We start from the raw sequence: 18906 nt of genomic DNA, 5'->3' as shown, positions 1-18906 counted from the left end.
AGTGAAATTTCTTGAAAGGCTAGGGAGTAGACCAGATATCCCAGAATGAAAACCAAGGTAAAGATATTCTGCATATATAGTATTCTATTTTGAACTAGAGAAGACTTTCTACTACAGTGGGGAAGGAGAAAAATGAAGGTACATTGGGACAGAGATCTGTCAGCAACTTGGTCATAGCCAGAAAGTGTCAAAACATAGTCTCAGACCCCTTCTTCTCTCCCACTTTTTTTTTTTTTTTCTTGAGATGGAGTTTCACTCTTGTTTCCCAGCCTGGAGTGCAATGGTGCAATCTTGGCTCACTGCAACCTCCTCCTCCTGGGTTCAAGAGATTCTCCTGCCTCAGCCTCCTGAGTAGCTAGGATTACAGGCACCTGCCACCACGCCTGGCTAGTTTTTCTATTTTTAGTAGAGACGGGGTTTCACCATGTTGGTCAGGCTGGTCTCGAACTCCTGACCTTAGGCAATCCACCTGCCTCGGCCTCCCAAAGTGCTAGGATTATAGGCGTGAGCCACCGTGCCCGGCTTCTCTCTCACTTTTAACAACCAATGTTAAAAGCACTAGACTGGGAAGACTGCATTGTGTGTTCACCTTGGTTGAATAAGGCTGTTTGGCTTATTTTTCCCTTCTTTGTCGTCCTGTGAACAGATATTGCTGGTGAATTCAAAGAGCAGTTACAGGCACTGATACCGTATGTATTAAACCCATCTAAGTTAATGGAAAAGGAGATCAATGGCTCAAAGGTCACCTGTCGGGGACTACTGGAGTATTTTAAGGTAAATATGGGTTTTAGTTATTAAAATGTTTGATTTTTGGTAAAGCTGATCTCACTCGTAAATCAACTTGAATTTAAATATTTTGAAACTTAAAAATTTTCTGGGGGAGATGGTGAGAGGCATTTTCAGAGACCTTGGTGTCCTTCCAGGAGTGGGCCATTGGGTGGCAGTATCGGTCTAAGAACCAAATGGATGTTCTTTGCACTCTCTTAGAGGAGCAATTAGCTGTGACTAAAGGAAGATTGTTCCTCAAGGAAGATGGTGTGGACAGGAGGTGGTTAGGAAGTTGCTGTGAGTAGGAGGAGACGGCACCTAGATGTGACACGACTACCTCAAGGCGGATGGTCACTCTGCCCACAGGTAGTGGTGAGGCCAGCGTGCATGGGGAGCTGGATGGGAATCCTAGCCTCTGTAGGCTTGTGCTGCTTGAGAACATTTTTAGTTAACTAAAAATGCTAACATGCACTCAAAGGTGTGTGGTGTGTTTTTGCTAATTCCTGGTTGTTGACCTAAGTCTTTAGGAAAATGCAGTTGTATGGTCACTTTCTAAAAATTAAATATGAGTAAGATATGACTGAATAACATTTTATAGCAGTTTTTATGTTTATATTTTAAGGCATATATTAAAATTTATCAAGGAGAAGATCTGCCTCACCCCAAGTCCATGCTTCAGGTAAACAATGATTTGACATCCTAAACGCTACCCTTAAATTACTTGAGTTGACCTGTATACAATAAGCAGAGTTCTTTAGGAAGAGAATGCACTTTTTCTCCTTTTTCATCATGCTGAGGTCTGTTAATTTTTTTTTAGCACATTTTGCAGTAGTGTGGCGACCTTTTCTAGTTCACTTGTTTGTATTCATGGTGGTACAGTTAAAACGAAATGGCCTCTCCTCACTGGGCCTAGTCTTTTCACCAAACACACTTTGGGAAGCACAGTTTATTATACGTGGTTGAAACATACCCACCATGTTAGACAAGCAAGTTCTTGTCATCTGTTGTTTATTTTTTTTATTTTTATATAATTTCTAATTTATTATTTTTTTGAGACAAGAGTCTCACTCTTGCCAAGGCTGGAGTGCAGTGGCACAATCTTGGCTCACCGCAACCTCCACCTCCTGGGTTCAAGTGATTCTTATACCTCAGCCTCCCGAGTAGCTGGGATTATAGGCATGTACCACCATGCCTGGCTAATTTTTGTATTTTTTAATAGAGATCGGTTTAGCCATGTTGCCCAGGCTGGTCTCCAACTCCTGGACTCAAGCAATCCGACCGTCTTGGCCTCCCAAAGTGCTGGGATTATAGGGGTGAGCCACCATGCCTGGCTATAATTTTTTTAATTAAAAGAAAAAAATAGGGATGTGGTCTTGCTGTGTCGCCCAGGCTGGTCTCAAACTTGGCTCAAGCGATGTGCCTGCCTCAGCTTCCCGAAGTGCTAAGATTACAGGTGTAAGCCACTGTGCCTGACCTGTTATTTACTTTAGTGGAACATGTCCTGACACACCTGTTTACTATTCACTAATCAGGTTTTTAATTTGCAACTAGAATGTCATTTGGTTAAAACATAATTTTTGACTTTCATATGTTGAACATAAGGGGATTTATTGCCAAGTGTTGATTTATTTTGTAGCAGAAAATTTTCATAAAGGGAGCTAGAGCCTGGGATTGACATTGCAAATAATTTTTTCCTTTTTTTTTTTGAGGTGGAATCTTGCTCTGTTGCCCAGGCTGGAGTGCAGTGGCACAATCTCGGCTCACTGCAAGCTCCACCTCCTGGGTTCACGCCATTCTCCTGCCTCAGCCTCCCGAGTAGCTGGGACTGCAGGCGCCTGCCACCACGCCCGGCTAATTTCTTTGTATTTTTAGTAGAGACAGGGTTTCACCGTGTTAGCCAGGATGATCTCGATCTCCTGACCTCGTGATCTGCCCGCCTCAGCCTCCCAAAGTGCTGGGATTACAGGCGTGAGTCACCGCGCCCAGCCCCCTTTTTTTTCTTCTTCTTCTTTTTTTTTTTTTTTTTTAAATAGAAACAGGATCTAGCTGTGTTGAGCAGGCTGGTGTTGAATTCTTGGACTCAAGTGATCCTCCCACCTCAGCCTCTCAAAGTGCTGGGATTACAGGCGTAAGCCACCACACCCGGCTTTTTCCTTTTTTTTTTTTTTTTTTTTGTTTGAGACAGAGTCTTGCTCTATTGCTCAGGCTGGAGTGCAGTGGCGTGATCTCGGCTCACTGCAACCTCTACCTCCTGGGTTCAAGTAGTTCTCCTGCCTCAGCCTCCTGAGTAGCTGGGACTACAGGCGCACATCACCACGCCTGGCTAATTTTTTTGTGTTTTTGGTAGAGATGGGGTTTCAACATGTTGGCCAGGCTGGTCTTGAACTCCTGACCTTATGATCCGCCAGCCTCGGCCTCCCAAAGTGCCAAAGTGCTGGGATTACAGGCGTGAGCCACCACGCCCAACCTTTCCTTCTTCTTTTTTTTTTTTTTTTGACTCACATCTATTTCTTAAAGTTGGAGCAATGGAGCCAGGTGTGGTGGCTTACTCCTGTAATCCCAGCACTTTGGGAGGCTGAGGTGGGCAGATCACTTGAGCCTGGGAGTTCAACATCAGCTTGGGCAATATAGGGAGACTCTAGCTCTGCAAAACAAAAACTTAAAAAGTTAGCCAAGCGTGGTGGCACGCACTGGCAGGAGGATGGCTTGCATTCAGGAGGCGAAGGTTGTAGTGTGCTGAGATTACCACTGAACTCCAGCCTGGGTGACAGAGTGAGGCTCTGTCTTAAAAAAAAAGAAAAATTTAAACAATTAAAAAATAAATTGATGCAATGGAAATAATATTTTCCTTGAATTTTGGAGATTTAATTTTTGCTAAAGATTCTTATGTATAAGAATACATATTTCTATGTATATGAACTTCTACCTTTTTTTGGTAGAAAATTTGGCAGAAAAAGTGTATTCTATTTCATCAGTTGAACTATATGGAAATCTAGAAAAATAGAAGGTTAATAAAAAAGGAAGAATGGGGAATAGAGAAGATTTTTGTTAGGTTATTTGTGGAGGAATGTTAAAAGAGGAAGGATTTACAGTTCACGTTTTTCTCTCTTAAAAGGCCACTGCTGAAGCCAACAACTTAGCAGCTGCAGCCTCTGCCAAGGACATTTATTATAACAACATGGAAGAGGTACGTGGGACATACGCCTTATTCTGAAATATCTATAATCTGGGCATTGTTGCTGACTTCAAAAGCCCAACTTGATCCTACTTAATGTATCTTTAAGTGATGAGGCAATAAACTTATATTCAGGTTGTCCTGGTAACGGGGGCCTTCTAATTATTACCATTTCTTTGTTTGTTTGTTTGTTCTTGTTTTGTTTTGTTTTGTTTTGAATAGCAAATAGTTTATTGGTAAGTACATAGTTTCAATGGGAGTAATAAATTCACATGAGCAGGAGACAATAATCAAGTCAAAAGAATAAATGCTTACTAATCATCAGAAAATCTGTGGCCATTAAGGCTGGCACATAAAAATCCAAAATCACTCAGAGGCCGAATCTTAAAAGAAGATTCGTCCTCTTATTAGTTCATATGGAATAGGTCCATAGTAACTGGAATCTGTAGAATTCTGTAGATTTATCACCTTCTAACCAAACATGACCCACTGGGACATAACTGTAGCTTTTAAAGAAATCTGATGGACTAGTGGTGAGGATTTTGTCTCCTTCCAAACCAGTTACTCTTTTACAAATATTTGATGTTGGATCACTTGGGCTTTTTGCAATCACAATGTCACCTCTTTGGATACTATCAAAATGTCGACTAAGATTTTGTGCAAAGACAGTATCTGAATTTTGAATTGTAGGCTCCATTGATGGTCCAGAACACATGACAACACCACCAACGTATTCAGAAGCACAGTGAGCTATACAGCCATACTGAATAGCATAGCCAACAAGTCAGAAGGTTTCCCCAGAGCACCACGAAGCATAGTTCTATGTAGACTCTGCCACCATTGGTCATAGATCTGTTCTATAATTCATTTAATTTTTAGGGAAGTCGCAGGGCTTCCAGAAAAAAAAAATTAAAGCATGTCTCAAAGCGTATGTGGGTGATCCATGATTTCAGGAATCCTCGGGTCCCAAAGAACCCTGAGGACCCTCAACCAGGACACAGGTGGGCCTTTCTCACCTGGGCCCTGCAGAAGTCGACCGTTTGCTTTTGTTTTTTAGAGACGGAGTCTCACTCTGTCGCCCAGGCTGGAGTGCAGTGGTGCGATCTCGGCTCACTGCAACCTCCGCCTCCCGGGTTCAAGCGGTTCTCCTGCCTCAGCCTTCTGAGTAGCTGGGATTACAGGTGCCTGCCATCACGCCCGGCTAATTTTTTTTGTGTTAGTAGAGACGGAGTTTCACCATGTTTACCAGGCTGATTTCAAACTCCTGACCTCAAGTGATCTGCCCGCCCTGGCCTCCGAAAGTGCTGGGATTACAGGCGTGAGCCACCGCACCCGTCCCAGTGTCACTGCTCTTTCCAATTGATATTATCACCCTGGTTTTTTAAGTGTGCTTTTCAGAGGAAGTGAAACTAGACTTTATTGGTCTTAGTCATCTTTTAAAAGTTAACTTATTAATACATTGTTAACATCTTAAAACATTCTAATCCTTTCATTATCTTTTCATGTTTTATTTGGCACTTGTTTTTGAAGAGATCTTTTAACATATTGTTTCTTTGTTCTTTTTAGGTTTGTGGGGGAGAGAAACCTTATTTGTCTCCAGACATTCTAGAGGAGAAGCACTGTGAATTCAAACAACTTGCTCTGGACCATTTTAAGAAGACCAAGAAGATGGGTGGGAAGGATTTCAGCTTTCGTTACCAGCAGGAGCTGGAGGAGGAAATCAAGGAATTATATGAGAACTTCTGCAAGCACAATGGTAGCAAGAACGTCTTCAGCACCTTCCGAACCCCTGCAGTGCTGTTCACGGGCATTGTAGCTTTGTACATAGCCTCAGGCCTCACTGGCTTCATAGGTCTTGAGGTTGTAGCCCAGTTGTTCAACTGTATGGTTGGACTACTGTTAATAGCACTCCTCACCTGGGGCTACATCAGGTATTCTGGTCAATATCGTGAGCTGGGCGGAGCTATTGATTTTGGTGCCGCATATGTGTTGGAGCAGGTAAGTGGTGCTGCTGAAGAGCCTGAGGGTTGATAATGGGCAGATATTTGTGCTTCTGTTGTAAAATATCTCAGTTTGGAAGAATTTCATAGTGAAGACATGAGACAGTGGCCACTCCGTTGGCTGTTGTTTTCTGATAGACTGTATGTTTTATTATCCTTTAGGATATTAATATTTATTCTTAATATTTTGTTTCCATGTCTAAAAAGGCCCCCGCCCCGCTTTTTTTTTTTTTTTTTGAGACAAAGTCTCGCTGTGCTCTCTTGCCCAGGCTGGAGTCCAGTGGCATGATCTTGGCTCACTGCAACCTCCGCCTCCCAGGTTCAAGTGATTCTCTTGCGTCAGCCTCCCAAGTAGCTGAGACTACAGGTGTGTGCCACCACGGCCCGCTAGTTTTTGTATTTTTAATAGAGACAGGGTTTCACCATGTTGACCAGGCTGGTCTCGAACTCCTGACCTCATGGTCCGCCTGCCTCGGCCTCCCAAAGTGCTGGGATTACAGGTGTGAGCCACCGTGCCCAGCCCAAAAATAGCCCTTTAATGCAAAAACATTCCAACTTAGACATACTGATTGTGTTCCCCTTTGGCAACTTTTTTTTTTTTTTTTTTTTTTGAGACAGATTTTTACGCTTTTGCCCAGGCTGGAGTGAAGTGGTGTGATCTTGGCTCACTGCAACCTCTGCCCACTGGGTTCAAGTGATTCTCTTGCCTCAGCCTCCCAAGAGTAGCTGGGATTATAGGTGCCTGACACCATGCCCAGTTAATTTCTGTATTTTTTTTTTTTTTTTTAGTAGAGACAGTGTTTTGCCATGTTAGCTAGGCTGGTCTTGAACTCCTGACCTCAGGTGATCCACCCACCTCGGCCTCCCAAAGTGCTAGGATTATAGGCATGAGCTATTGCGCCTGGTCGGCAACTTCTAATTACATGCTCTTCAGACATAATTTTTATGTGATTCTCACTTCTCACCCCCTCTAGATTAATTTACTTCATTGAAAAGCAAGAACTTTGAAAAAATTATGAACTTAACGAAAAATGTTCGGTTTTGAGTCCTACTGGATTAGGAAAGGGATGGTATCTTTTTTATTTAAAAATCTTCCAAAAGCCAGTGGCTTGGTTATTTATTTATTGGGTTGCTTATTTATTTATTTATAAAATTTTTTTTGGAGACGAGGTCTTGCTTTGTCACCCAGGCTGGTATCTTAGCTCATTGTAACTTAAAACTCCTGGGCTCAAGTGATCCTCCCACCTCAGCCTCCCAAGCAGCCGGTGTTACAGGCGAGTGCCACCACACCTGACTAACCCAGTAGCTCTTGGACATTGACATGGTCACAAGTTTTGTAGATCTTTGAGATGATACATTTGTTTTTCTGAGTAACATGAACAGGTGAGTTGGGTTAGCAGCTTGTGAAGCCACAGGAGCTGCCTATCCTACCCTAGCCACAGAGCAGATGTTCCCCTGGCTCTCTTGGGAGTTAGCTGCTGCCACAGCCTCTCTGTATCCCTGCATTTTCATTCAACTGCTTTCTGTAACATGCCGATGATGGAGACAGGTTTTTGAAAGTTTAAGGACTTACTTTCTTGTTGCTGTGTTGTATTTTATTAACTTATATGTTGAATAAATGGACTTTTGCAGGCTTCTTCTCATATCGGTAATTCCACTCAGGCCACTGTGAGGGATGCAGTTGTTGGAAGACCATCCATGGATAAAAAAGCTCAATAGCATCTTAACGTGAAGATCAAACAAGAACACAACAAGCCCCTACTGATTTCTGGGTTTCTGCCACGGCCACAGGTTCATATCCAGAGGAATGGCAGATCTGAGACGATCCAGGAAGAGCTAAAACATGGCCCTGTAATAAATGAGCAGACCTCTCCTGTGGTTTCAAATTATTAAACACACTTCCATTTCTCTTGGAAGCATTTCTTTTCCTTGCTGTTATAGATGCAAGCCTGTGTCTATTTTCATATTACTCTGCTTTGTGCACTTTATGGAGGAGGAAGCTAGAGGAAAAATGGAAATGCAGCTTTTAAGTTCTTTATGTGCCACTTAGTGCCTTTTAAGATTGATTCCATGGTTTTGCACACACGATGGGGAGGGGATGGAGGATAACCTCATGAAAGGTGCCGTTTTCGGGTGAAACTTGACATTTCTTTTATACTTTACTCTTTTGAGAAGGATTCTTTTTTTTTTTTTTTTTTTTTTTGAGTTGGAGTCTCGCTCTGTCACCAGGCTTGAGTGCAGTGGTGTGATCTTGGCTCACTGCAACCTCTGCCTGCCGGGTTCAAGCAGTTCTCCTGCCTCAGCCTCCCAAGTAGCTGGGACTACAGGTGTACGCCACCATACCCAGCTAATTTTTTTGTATTTTTAGTAGAGATGGGGTTTCACCATGTTGGCCAGGATGGTCTTGGTCTCTTGACCTTGTGATCCGCCTGCCCGCCTTGGCCTCCCAAAGTGCTGGGATTACAGGCGTGAGCCACCGTGCCCGGCCAAGAAGGATTCCTTTTTTAAAAGTTTACAGAACTTGGAGAAACTTCAGAACTAAAGACTAACTGAAAATGATGTCATTACACTCAAAAAAAATTTACAATAGGGAATCCTGTTGCCACATAGTGTGGAAAAATCATGTCATATTTAAATATACCATACTCTGAAATGTGAGGTTTTTACCCAGTAGGCTGACAGTTTTGTTGCAACTTGCTCTATTTTTTTTTTTTTTTTGGTCCCTATAGCTTCTTTCTAGAAAAAGAGGCAAACGTGCCTTGAAAAGCCAGAGTGGCTCATAATAAAAGGAATGCGCTAGATACTTCAAGAAAAAAGCTAAGTTTAAATGAACCATGTGACCTCTGATAAGTCACTTGAACTTGTGCCTTGGTCAGGTTCACTGTAGGTTTACATATGTATGTATGTTTTACACAACTCTTGTAATTGTCATTTGAGGGGTTTTGTTTTTGAGAGTTCTGCATAAGAACAGAACTTTATTAAGGATTAGAGGGAAGATACAAATATTACTGCGTTTAATTGATGTCTAATTTCATGTGGCTTAGCAGCAATTAATAACCTGATTTAAGGTCTTTATTCAGAATGTTAATTTGCATTCTCTGCCGTGTCTAATGTTCTTAATAATGAAGCTAAAATTAACCCATTTTATTTAGTGAATTATCTATTTAATTTTACTTTGGCTAGTCTGGTAGCTTTAAGATAGCTTTGCCTTAGCAAGGATCAAAGTCCTACCCAAATATAAAAAATATCTAGAAGTATCTAAGAGTTCTTTTTTTCTATTTACCTTGATTAGGAGATAAAAGTTTTATCTGTTAGTTGCTTTTCCTTTTGGAATTATTGTGGATTTTAAAACTTAAAACTTGCCTGCAAGTATTTATATAAACATTCAGGTATATAAGCCTTAATTTCTAAGATAATTTAACTTTTGTTATGGGAGGGAGGTAAGAGTGTAAATTTTATATACATGAAGGTAAGATCTGAGTGTAAACTTTACATACATGAAGTATGAATGGAAGGTAGAAAAAAAGTCCCTTTTCGCATGTAATCTCTTTATCAAAGAATTTTCTTTTGACACTTTACCACTGAAGTATTTTTGTAAGTCCTAAATTCGCAGCATATTGTTTCATATTTATATGCCATCTTGCAAATAGTTCTTGCTATTTTATTCACTGCTGTTACACTTTAGAAAAATTCCAGCTTGTTTACTTGCATTTATCAGTGATGCCAACCAAGCTTTGACTGTTAACTTGAAAGCTTGCTTCTGAAATGTTGGTGCATTTTCAGGTGACCTCTTATCTCTCTGAAAGTTCATACCTATTAGCAGGCTCTGTAAATATTGACATACTTAGCTTTTAATACATTCTATAAGTAAATTTATAGATTTCAGAATAACTTAAAAAATTTAATGGTAAGAAGGGGTGATGTGTCGAAAACTCATACTAAAGTATTAGGTCACTTTAAAAAAAGTGATAATGTATGATTTAATGAAATCTTAAGATTCAGTTACTATTTAAATTCACCATTTCTGTTTTGGTCTTATAAAGAGACCTTGGTTTAATTATCCAGAGGAAGTCCTCTTCACCATTTTTTTTTTTTCTTAGTTCTGCTTCTGGAAAGTGTTTTATAAAGTTTTCTCAGTGAGGGTTCTTAAGAGTTTTCTTTGGCCTCTTTTCTCTCAACAGTAAATTGATGATTTTATATCAGCTTTTTCAATAAAAGATGCATTATCATTACTGGCTATAAATCATCCTGGGGAGATTTATAACCAGGTTAAAAATAATATCTTTTACTTCTCTCACCTTTTACTTGTGGTTCAGATGCTCAGACTGTGCCTGTTTGCGTCGTGTCTGTTGCTCTGCCGCTTTCCATGCAGGCATTTTTAATTTTACACAATCCTAACAATATATGGAACTCATTCCTATGAATATATAAAAGGAGGCTTCCAAAATTTTCTATTAAAATATTTCAGGATAAATTAAGTGTTGATAATTTGAAAAAATAATTTCAATGAGCTGCTTATAGTAAAAATGGTAGAATCAGAGTTTTCATTCTTTGAGAAATCTTTCTGTAAGATTGGCTCATAGATAAAATGAGACAAACTACTATGTATGATAAAACACCTTCAGAGTCATGCCTTGTTTTATTTTATTTTATTTTTTGAGACAGAGGTCTCGCTCTGTCGCCCAGGTTGGAGTGCAGTGGTGCAATCTCGCTCACTGCAACCTCCACCTCCCAGGTTCAAGCGATTCTCCTGTCTCAGCTTCCTGAGTAGCTGGGACTACAGGTGTACACCACCACGCCTGGCTAATTTTTGTTTTTTTACTAGAGGTGGGGTTTTGCCATGTTGGCCAGGCTGGTCTCAAACTCCTGACCTCAGGTGATCCACTCCCCCCAGCCTCCCAAAGTGCTGGGATTACAGGCATGAGCCACCCCGCCCAGCTGAGTCATGCCTTATTTTCGTAGTATACCAAGAAATGTTCTATGGAAGTTTACGTTTTAACACCTCTTTTATACTTGGTAAAATTGCCTGTGTTTCGCTTTATTCCTTTTTTTTTTTGAGACGGACTCTTGTACTGTCACCCAGGCTGAAGTGCAGTGGCGCAATCTTGGCTCACTACAACCTCCGCCTCCTGGGTTCAAGTGATTCTTTTGCCTCAGCCTCCCAAGTAGCAGGGATTACAGGCATGTGCCACCACACCCGGCTTATTTTTGTATTTTTAGTAGAGACAGGGCTTCGCCATGTTGACCAGGCTGGTCTCAACTCCTCTGGGAATCCGCCTGTCTTGGCCTTCCAGGGTGCTGGGATTACAGGCGTGAGCCACTGGAACCTGGCCTTGTTTTGCTTTATTTTTTCTCTTACATGAAGTAAAGCGCTTTGGTCAAACACACAAAAATACTGCCTTGTACTGGTGGTTGGTTTCATTAGTGGATCACACACAGTGTTCTACTTGGCTTGTAAAATGGTGCCTTGGATAGGGTGAGTTTGGATAAGTATGTATGTATGTATGAGTTATAGCAAAATTAAGTAGATTGAATCAAGTCCATGCAAAAGCAATAAAACAGTTTTAATTTTTTAATTTTTTAAAAATTAAAACTTTAATAAAACAGTTTTTAATTTTTTGCTAGGTTCTTTTAAAAAATGATGTAACTTACATGGAAGTCTTCACAGGACTTTTTTCTTTCCTGGAACTATTGAAATGTAATTTAGGATGATTTGATCTTCCATCTCAAGTTGTCAACATGGCTGTGTCATTCTGGCTTACATATGTTTTATTTAACAAAATTCTAGTCAAGGGATAAGGGCATAATGAAGACAAGCTTCAGTTATGAAAGTACAAACTATTTGTGTGATTAATTTTTAAAAATGACATTAAGAAGCCCATTGTAAAATAATATTTGCAGTCAAATGGTTTTTCTTGCTGTAAGTCCTGTTGTAGCTATGTTTAGGGTAGTGGTTCTCATCTACCTTGGAGTGCATAAGACTTACCTAGCAGGCTTGTTTAAAAAGTTCAGATTCCTAGCTTTGTACCCAGGGATTGCCTCAGGTGGTATGGGCTGTGGTCCTGGAGTCATCACTTTTATAAATAGTGGTTCAGAGACCACAGAGAGAGACTGCTTCATCGAATGGGAAGTACCAAGGAGAAAGTACAATTCAGTATTGTCTGGAGGCAAGTGGACACTTTGTACCTGAGGTTTAGAATAGGTGGTCTCTTGCCAGTACAATCCCCAGGCGTTTTCTGTGTTCAGAAGTAGTAAGAATGCCTTTAATTCAGAGGATTATCTAAGCTCTTTAAAGCTGTTTTTCTCCATTGTCATAGTGCCTTCTCTGAAAAATGAATGTACAGGTATCCTATTTTCTAATGTAATTAGGATTTTTTAAAAGCAATTTTTGATAGTTTTTCTTTTAAAAAGTAAAATTCAGCACTGTGACTTGAACCCCCAAATCTTTCACATACAGGTGAAACATTAAGCCACAAATAAAAATAATGAACAAGAAAGAAGACAAGATCCTAATTCCTGTCATTAGTGACCTAAGTACCCCATATCAGAAACTTTGCAAAACAGATCTAGGGACAGAAGGGCTTTGAAAGACATTTTTCTTTGGGGCAAATTTCGTGTGCCAGAACTACAGTTTAAATGTTTTTATGAGCAAGGGAAGGTAGCATTGATTCCCATAGCTTTCTAATTAGATACATGCTGTCATGGATGTAAGCCTTAAAGGAGTTAATACTAATCTTGTACATACACAAATTTTCCTCAGGTTTTTTTATTTTAAAAAATGATTTGTTAAAAGTACTGTCTGCTAGACCCTTGCCTTTGAGTGGCTTTGAAACTTAATATAGTTTTTAAAAAGTGCAATGGGATGAGATTATGCTATTAGTATATTAAAAGCATGTTTCTGTTTTACTCCAATTTGTAAGATCATTTAATGGAATAAAGATCACAACACCATGTTATCTGTGTTTTCTTTCTCTGTGTTTTTAATATGGGAGGTTCTGTGAAATAGTTTGGCTTGGCAAAGTGAATAAGACTTCTGACGGGATAGTGGCAATGTGGTTTGAGTTAGCTTTCTCTGTCCTACAAAACGACACTGAACAAGTGTCTTACTAGCATAGTCCTGGAGAAGGCTCTATTGTTGGCAGGGTTGCTTAAAAGTGAGCACAAGGGCCAGGTGTCGTGGCTCACTCCTGTAATCAGCACTTTGGGAGGCTGAGGTGGGAGAAATGCTTGAGCCCAGGAATTTGAGACCAGCTTGGGCAACATATGGAGACACTTTCCACCTCTGTCTCTACAAAATAAAAGTGCATAGTGGCACCCACCTGTAGTCCTAGCTACTCGGGAGGCTGAGGCAGGATGATCACTTGAGCCCAAGAGTTTTGAGACCAGCTTGGGCAACATATGGAGACACCTTCCACCCCGTCTCTGGAAAAAACAAAAAACAAACCCAGGCATGACGGTGCGCACCTGTAGTCCTAGCTGCTCTGGAGGCTGAGGCAGGATGATCACTTGAGCCCAGGAGTTGGAGGCAGCAGTGAATTACGGTCCCATCACTGTACTGCAGCCTGGGCAACAGCAAGACCCTGTCTCTCAAAAAAAATTACGCAAATTTCATTTACAGTAACATGGACTTGTGAAGACCTCTGAATTTGTAGCACTTTCATTTAGTTGCCCCATCTGGAGCCAGCTGATTAAACAGTTGCTCTTCAGGGGTGGGGGCAGGGAACGTAAATCTCTACTTAAAGCTTTCTCTTTCACTGATGGACACAGTGAGGAGATTGAATTGAACTTCTCAAATACGACAAATAGCTAGACATACCCCATTTAGCCCTACAGTAAAAAGATTTCTTCCCAAGTTGGAAACACTGGGTGGGATCAGCAGACTTTCTCTATCCAACCATCCATCCCTGGTTGTTACCATGTGTCAGGTGCTTTGCCAGGTGCTGCCCTTGAGTTCATCACAGTTTAGCAGGGAAGGGGCAAACTCAGAGGCTGATGATGTGAAGAGTATGGTGAAAACAAAGATTCAGGACTTGGGTGCCACCATCTACACTGATGTGTAGACGCTCTCAGCATAAACTGGGGAGAAGGAAGGACCAGGGTGACGAATGCGGTCCTGTATAGATGGGGAGCAGTCAAGCAAGCTGGCTTGTCTTTGGCGCATTGACATTCTTGCTTTTGATTATCATATATCACTTTGCAAAAGACAAGTCCAACTCTAATTAGCTTAAAGAAGGAAAAAATTGTTAACTGGGAAAAAGTTTCTTGTAATCGGACATATAGGGGTAAAGCTGACATCAGGCACTGGAGGAACTCAAATGTCAACAGGGCTCTTATTTCAGTGTTCAGTGACCTATTTATCTGCTGTTGCAGATAGGTTTCCTCCATGCCCCAGGGGAGGACAGGCACCAGTGGTTCCAGGTTTATGTCATCCCACTTTAATGTGCCCTGAGGAAACAGGCTTTTTTTTTTTTTGAGCTACCTATGAAAAAACACGTGTGTATATCTCCATTCCAGAGAAGGCTTCTGATTTGTTTGGCTTGAGTCATGCTCCTTCCATGGTCAACACTAGCCTGGCCTCTGAGGCATTATAACCAGCCAGACCTAGGGTGCAGGTGTCTGTAGTCAGAGTGATGACCACGTGCTATGACTGACAGCTCCACCAGAACCACATGGAGTCACCAAATGAAAGACTGCTGGGCAGACCAAAACAAATAATCCATTACAGATAACCAATTCCAGTTAACAATGGCCATTGAACAACAAGAGACACAAAACCTGGACATTTCCCAGGTTAAAGGTTCTGGAATTTTTTTGTTGTTGTTGTTTGTTTCTCTGAGACTGAGTCTTGCTCTGTCGTCAAGGCTGGAGTGCAGTGGTGCAATCTTGGCTCATTGTAACCTCCGCCTCCCGGGTTCAAGCGATTCTCCTGCTTCAGTCTCCTGAGTAGCTGGGATTACAGGCGCCCGCTGCCATGCCCAGTTAATTTTTGTATTTTTGGTAGAGGCGGGATTTCGCCATGTTGGCCAGGCTGGTCTTGAACTCCTGACCTCATGTGATCCACCCACCTTGGCCTCCCAACGTGCTGGGATTACAGGCGTGAGCCACCAGTCCTGGCCTTCTGGAATGTTTTATTTTTATTTTTATCTTATTTTTTTTGAGACAGAGTCTCGCTCTGTGCCTAGGCTGGAGTGCAGTGGCTCAATCTCGGCTCACTGCAACCTATGCCTCCCGGGTTCAAGCGATTCTCTTGCCTCAGCCTCCTGAGTAGCTGGAATTACAGGCACGCACCACCATGCTAATTTTTGTATTTTTAGTAGAGATGGGGTTTCACCGTGTTGGTCAGGCTGGTCTCGAACTCCTGACCTTGTGATCCGCCCGCCTCAGCCTCCCAAAGTGCTGGGATTACAGGCGTGAGCCACCGTGCCCAGCCTCTAGAATGTTTTTTTTAAAGAGAAGGTAGAGATGGTTATGCTGCACATTTAGGCAGTGGAAGCTCTTCAGGGCATTTCAATAGGGATTTGTTCTCTTTCCTCTTCAGTAGGACTTGGGTTTCAAAGGGGATTCAGAAGGAAGTTATACTTCACTTTTGGTTTCTTTCATAAAAGCCTGATTTTTCTGGTCAGAGGAAACTATCAAAATTGGCATAGTCACATGTTTTACACCTGTGAAAACCCTGCATTCAGCTGGCTGGTGGAGCACTTGAGACATACTCCCATTTTGAATGTTGTCATGTTGTGAAATTTGTGGTTTCTGTTCCTTGTTGTGAACTTTGTGGATTCTGTTCCTTGTGTGCAAAGAAGCATTGCAAACAGCTTCCCTTTAAATGCAGTTTCCCTAAAAAAAAAAAAAAAAAAACAAAATGCAGTTTCCCTGTTCACTTTCTCTCGTCACCCTTGCACCCTTTCTTTCTCCTGCCCTGGCCTTCCTGTGTGTCACCCAGCTTGCTCAGATTCCCCATTGGGCCTATTAGGCCTGCAAAGCAAATTAGCCTGTGCAATTTTCTCCCACCTGCTCAGCTATTCCTCCTCAGAGAGTCAGCAAAACAATGGATTCTGGAGGATCCATCTATCCTCCTTAGAAGGCAGAGAATGGAGAGATTACAAATACTTAAAAACTGGCCAGGCATGGTGGCTCATGCCTGTAATCCCAGCACTTTGGGAGGCTGAGGCAGGCAGATCATCTGAGTTCAGGAATTCGAGACCAGCCTGGCCAAAATGATAAAACCCTGTCTGTACTAAAAATACAAAAATTAGGCGTGGTAGCGTGGGCCTGTAATCCCAGCTACTTGGGAGACTGAGGCAGGAGAATCGCTTGAACCTGGGAGGCGCAGGTTGCAGTGAGCTGAGATCATGCCACTGCACTCCAACACTCTAGTCTGGGAGACATAGCAAGACTCCGTCTCAAAAAAAAAAAAAAATTAATAGTTTCCTCCTTATCACAAGAGGAATGGGGCTTCATAGCCATGCTATGCAGAAAAGCCTGGAAGCTTTGGAGGTGGACACTAGTTGGATCCTGGCATCACAGTCCACCTGTCCACCTGCTCTGTGCGGGGGGTAAGGACCGTCTTGTTGGTGATGGTGTGGCATCATGGGGCAGTTTCTCAGTAAGTCCCGGGGCCTTTCTTAGAGAGCTCCTCTTTTGAGAACTGTGTGAGAAGTGAAAATACATAGCCCTCAGTACTGTTCCCCCTTCCCAGTATGATTTTTTTTTGGTTTTGTTTTGCTTTTTTTCTGGCACAGCAACAGGAAAAGATAAGGGAGGTGACATCTGGGTGCTTCTGGAAGCAGAGGGTGAGGAAAGGCAGAAGTCAGCCCGGCTGCCTCAAAACCGAACCTGTCCATCCTGGGTTTGGATGACCTTATAGTCAGTCCCTGGCTCAGGGTGCTCCGTAATTTGTTTGATGAGTGATAAGGCACATAAAGCTATGGTATTTATATTGCCTCTGAGTCTCCTTGTCAGAAAGCTGGTGAAGATCATGTGATGTTGATGGGCACATACCTATTCTCATGTTAATAACAGCCACCGTGTGTTGTGTGAGGATTTACCACGTGCCAGACGTCAGGCTCAGCACTTTATTTTTATTTTATTTTATTTTATTTTATTTTTTGAGACGGAGTCTCCCTCTGTCACCCAGGCTGGAGTGCAGTGGCACGATCTCAGCTCACTGCAAGCTCCGCCTTCCGGGTTCACACCATTCTGCCTCAGCCTCCCAAGTAGCTGGGACTACAGGCGCTGCTACCATTCCAAGCTAATTTTTTGTATTTTTAGTAGAGACGGGGTTTCACCATGTTAGCCAGGATGGTCTCAATCTCCTGACCTCGTGATCTGAGGGCTCAGCACTTTATAAGCATCATTTCATTTGTTGCTCTGTCTTTGGGGAATGTATTTTTTTTTTTACATTTTTTTATTTTGAGACAGAGTCTCACTCTGTTGCCCAGGCTGGAGTGCAGTGGCATATCTCGGCTCACTGCAACCTCCATCTCCCGGGTTCAAGCGATTCTCCTGCCTCAGCCTCTCAAGTAGCTGGGACTACAGGTGTGTGCCACCACACCCGGCTAATTTCCTATTTTTAGTAGAGATGGAGTTTCACCATGTTGGCCAGGATAGTCTCGATCTCTTGACCTCGTGATCCTCCCGCCTCAGCCTCCCAAAGTGCTGGGATTGCAGGCGTGAGCCACTGCGCCCTGCCAGGGAATGTATTCTTAAACATTATACAATATCACTAAGGCCCTATTTTACAGACAAACAGTTCAGAGAAGAAAACATGGCCTGGGCCCTACAACTATTATAGTAAGTGGCAGGGTCAGGATTTGGTCCGGACATCCTGACTGCAAGGCTCAGTACTGGCACTGGAGTGGTAGGAATACAGAGATGAACAAGAGCTGGTTCTACTCGTGTGAAGTCATATCCCAGTGCAGAGAAAGAGCCTGTGTTGGTCATTCATTCTTCATTCATGCTTTCATTCATGGAATGCCTATGGTGTGCTAGGTTTTTTTTTTTGAGATGGAGTCTCGCTGTGTGGCCCAGGCTGGAGTGCAGTGGTGCAATCTCAGCTCACCGCGACCTCTGCCTCCCAGGTTCAAATGATTCTCCTGCCTCAGCTTCCTGAGTAGCGGGGATGGGATTACAGGTGCCCAGCACCATGAGTGGCTAATTTTTATATTTTTAGTAGAGATATGGTTTCACTGTGTTGGCCAGGCTAGTCTCGATTTCCTGCGCTCAAGTGATCTGCCTGCCTCGGCTTCCCAAAGTGCTGGGATTCCAGGTGTGAGCCACCATGCCCAGCCGATGTGCTAGGTTTTGTGCAAGGATTTGGGGATATGTGATGACATTAAGACCCAATAGTTAAAAGCACTTTCTGCTAGATCCTTGCCTTTGAATAGCTTTAAATTTAATACAGTTTTGTGAGCCCCACCTCCATCCTCTTAGGGTCTCAGCTGGGCCTAAGAACTACATTGACATAAGATAGATCAACAGGGCCAGGTGTGGTGGCTCACACCTGGAATCCCAGCATTTTGAGAAGCTGAGGCGGGATGATTACTTGACCCCAGAGTTGCAGACGAGGCTGGGTGACATAGTAAAACACTGCTGCTTAAATAAAAAAAGAAATTAGCCAGTTGTGCAGTGGGCACCTGTCATCCCAGCTACTTGGGAGGCTAAGGTGGGAGAATCACTTGAGTGCAGGAGGTCAAGGCCATAGTGGTGAGCTATGATCTCATCACTGACTTCACCCTGGGTGACAGAGCGAGACACTGTGTTATTGCACTGCTATAAATAAATACCTGAGACTCAGTAATTTATAATGAAAAGAGGTTAAGTCGGTTGCGGTCGTTCACACCTGTAATCCCAGCACTTTGGGAGGCCGAAGTGGGCGGATCACCTGAGGTCAGGAGTTTGAGATCAGCCTAGCCAACATGGCAAAACCCCGTCTTTACTAAAAATAGAAAAATTAGCTGGATATGG

The 18906-nt window shown here is 42.4% G+C and overlaps 1 protein-coding gene, 1 long non-coding RNA gene and 1 pseudogene across 12 annotated transcripts in view, besides 1 other annotated feature; 1 reads left to right on the top strand and 2 right to left on the bottom strand.

The window, feature by feature from the left end:
• Window positions 1-12894, top strand: part of ATL3 (atlastin GTPase 3) — a 47888-nt gene extending 34994 nt beyond the window's left edge. For 9 of the 10 annotated variants that reach the window (NM_001440720.1, NM_001290048.2, XM_047426725.1 and 6 more), the window contains 5 exons: window positions 647-774; window positions 1391-1447; window positions 3884-3955; window positions 5510-5941; window positions 7576-12894. In NM_001440720.1, coding sequence (NP_001427649.1) covers window positions 647-774; window positions 1391-1447; window positions 3884-3955; window positions 5510-5941; window positions 7576-7662 — 776 coding nt within the window. In that variant the 3' untranslated portion in view covers window positions 7663-12894. The remainder of the gene's footprint in view (window positions 1-646; window positions 775-1390; window positions 1448-3883; window positions 3956-5509; window positions 5942-7575) is intronic. The other variant, NM_001440718.1, reaches the window with a different exon arrangement.
• Window positions 1-18906, bottom strand: part of LNCROPM (lncRNA regulator of PLAAT3 mediated phospholipid metabolism) — a 42655-nt gene that overhangs the window by 21982 nt on the left and 1767 nt on the right. Inside the window, exon 2 of one of the 2 annotated variants that reach the window (NR_199013.1) lies at window positions 15248-15777. The exons of the other annotated variant lie outside the window; for it this stretch is intronic. This is a non-coding gene — a long non-coding RNA (lncRNA regulator of PLAAT3 mediated phospholipid metabolism). Of the gene's footprint in view, window positions 1-15247; window positions 15778-18906 lie in introns of those variants that run through there. 2 annotated transcript variants of the gene reach the window in all.
• Window positions 4159-4787, bottom strand: IMMP1LP1 (inner mitochondrial membrane peptidase subunit 1 pseudogene 1; annotated as a pseudogene).
• Window positions 4513-5712: an enhancer, noted in NCBI's record as "CDK7 strongly-dependent group 2 enhancer chr11:63398741-63399940 (GRCh37/hg19 assembly coordinates)". NCBI's record gives its function as "activates an origin of replication core promoter dependent on BRD2, BRD4, P300/CBP, MED14 and CDK7 cofactors, with strong dependence on CDK7, by STARR-seq in HCT116 cells {active_cell/tissue: HCT116}" and the evidence as "EXISTENCE:reporter gene assay evidence [ECO:0000049][PMID:35650434]".

Source organism: Homo sapiens, chromosome 11, assembly GCF_000001405.40.
Source record: "Homo sapiens chromosome 11, GRCh38.p14 Primary Assembly".
Lineage (NCBI taxonomy): Eukaryota > Metazoa > Chordata > Mammalia > Primates > Hominidae > Homo > Homo sapiens.
The sequence above is the reverse complement of the archived record's forward strand: the minus strand, read 5'-3'. Positions and strand labels throughout refer to the sequence as shown.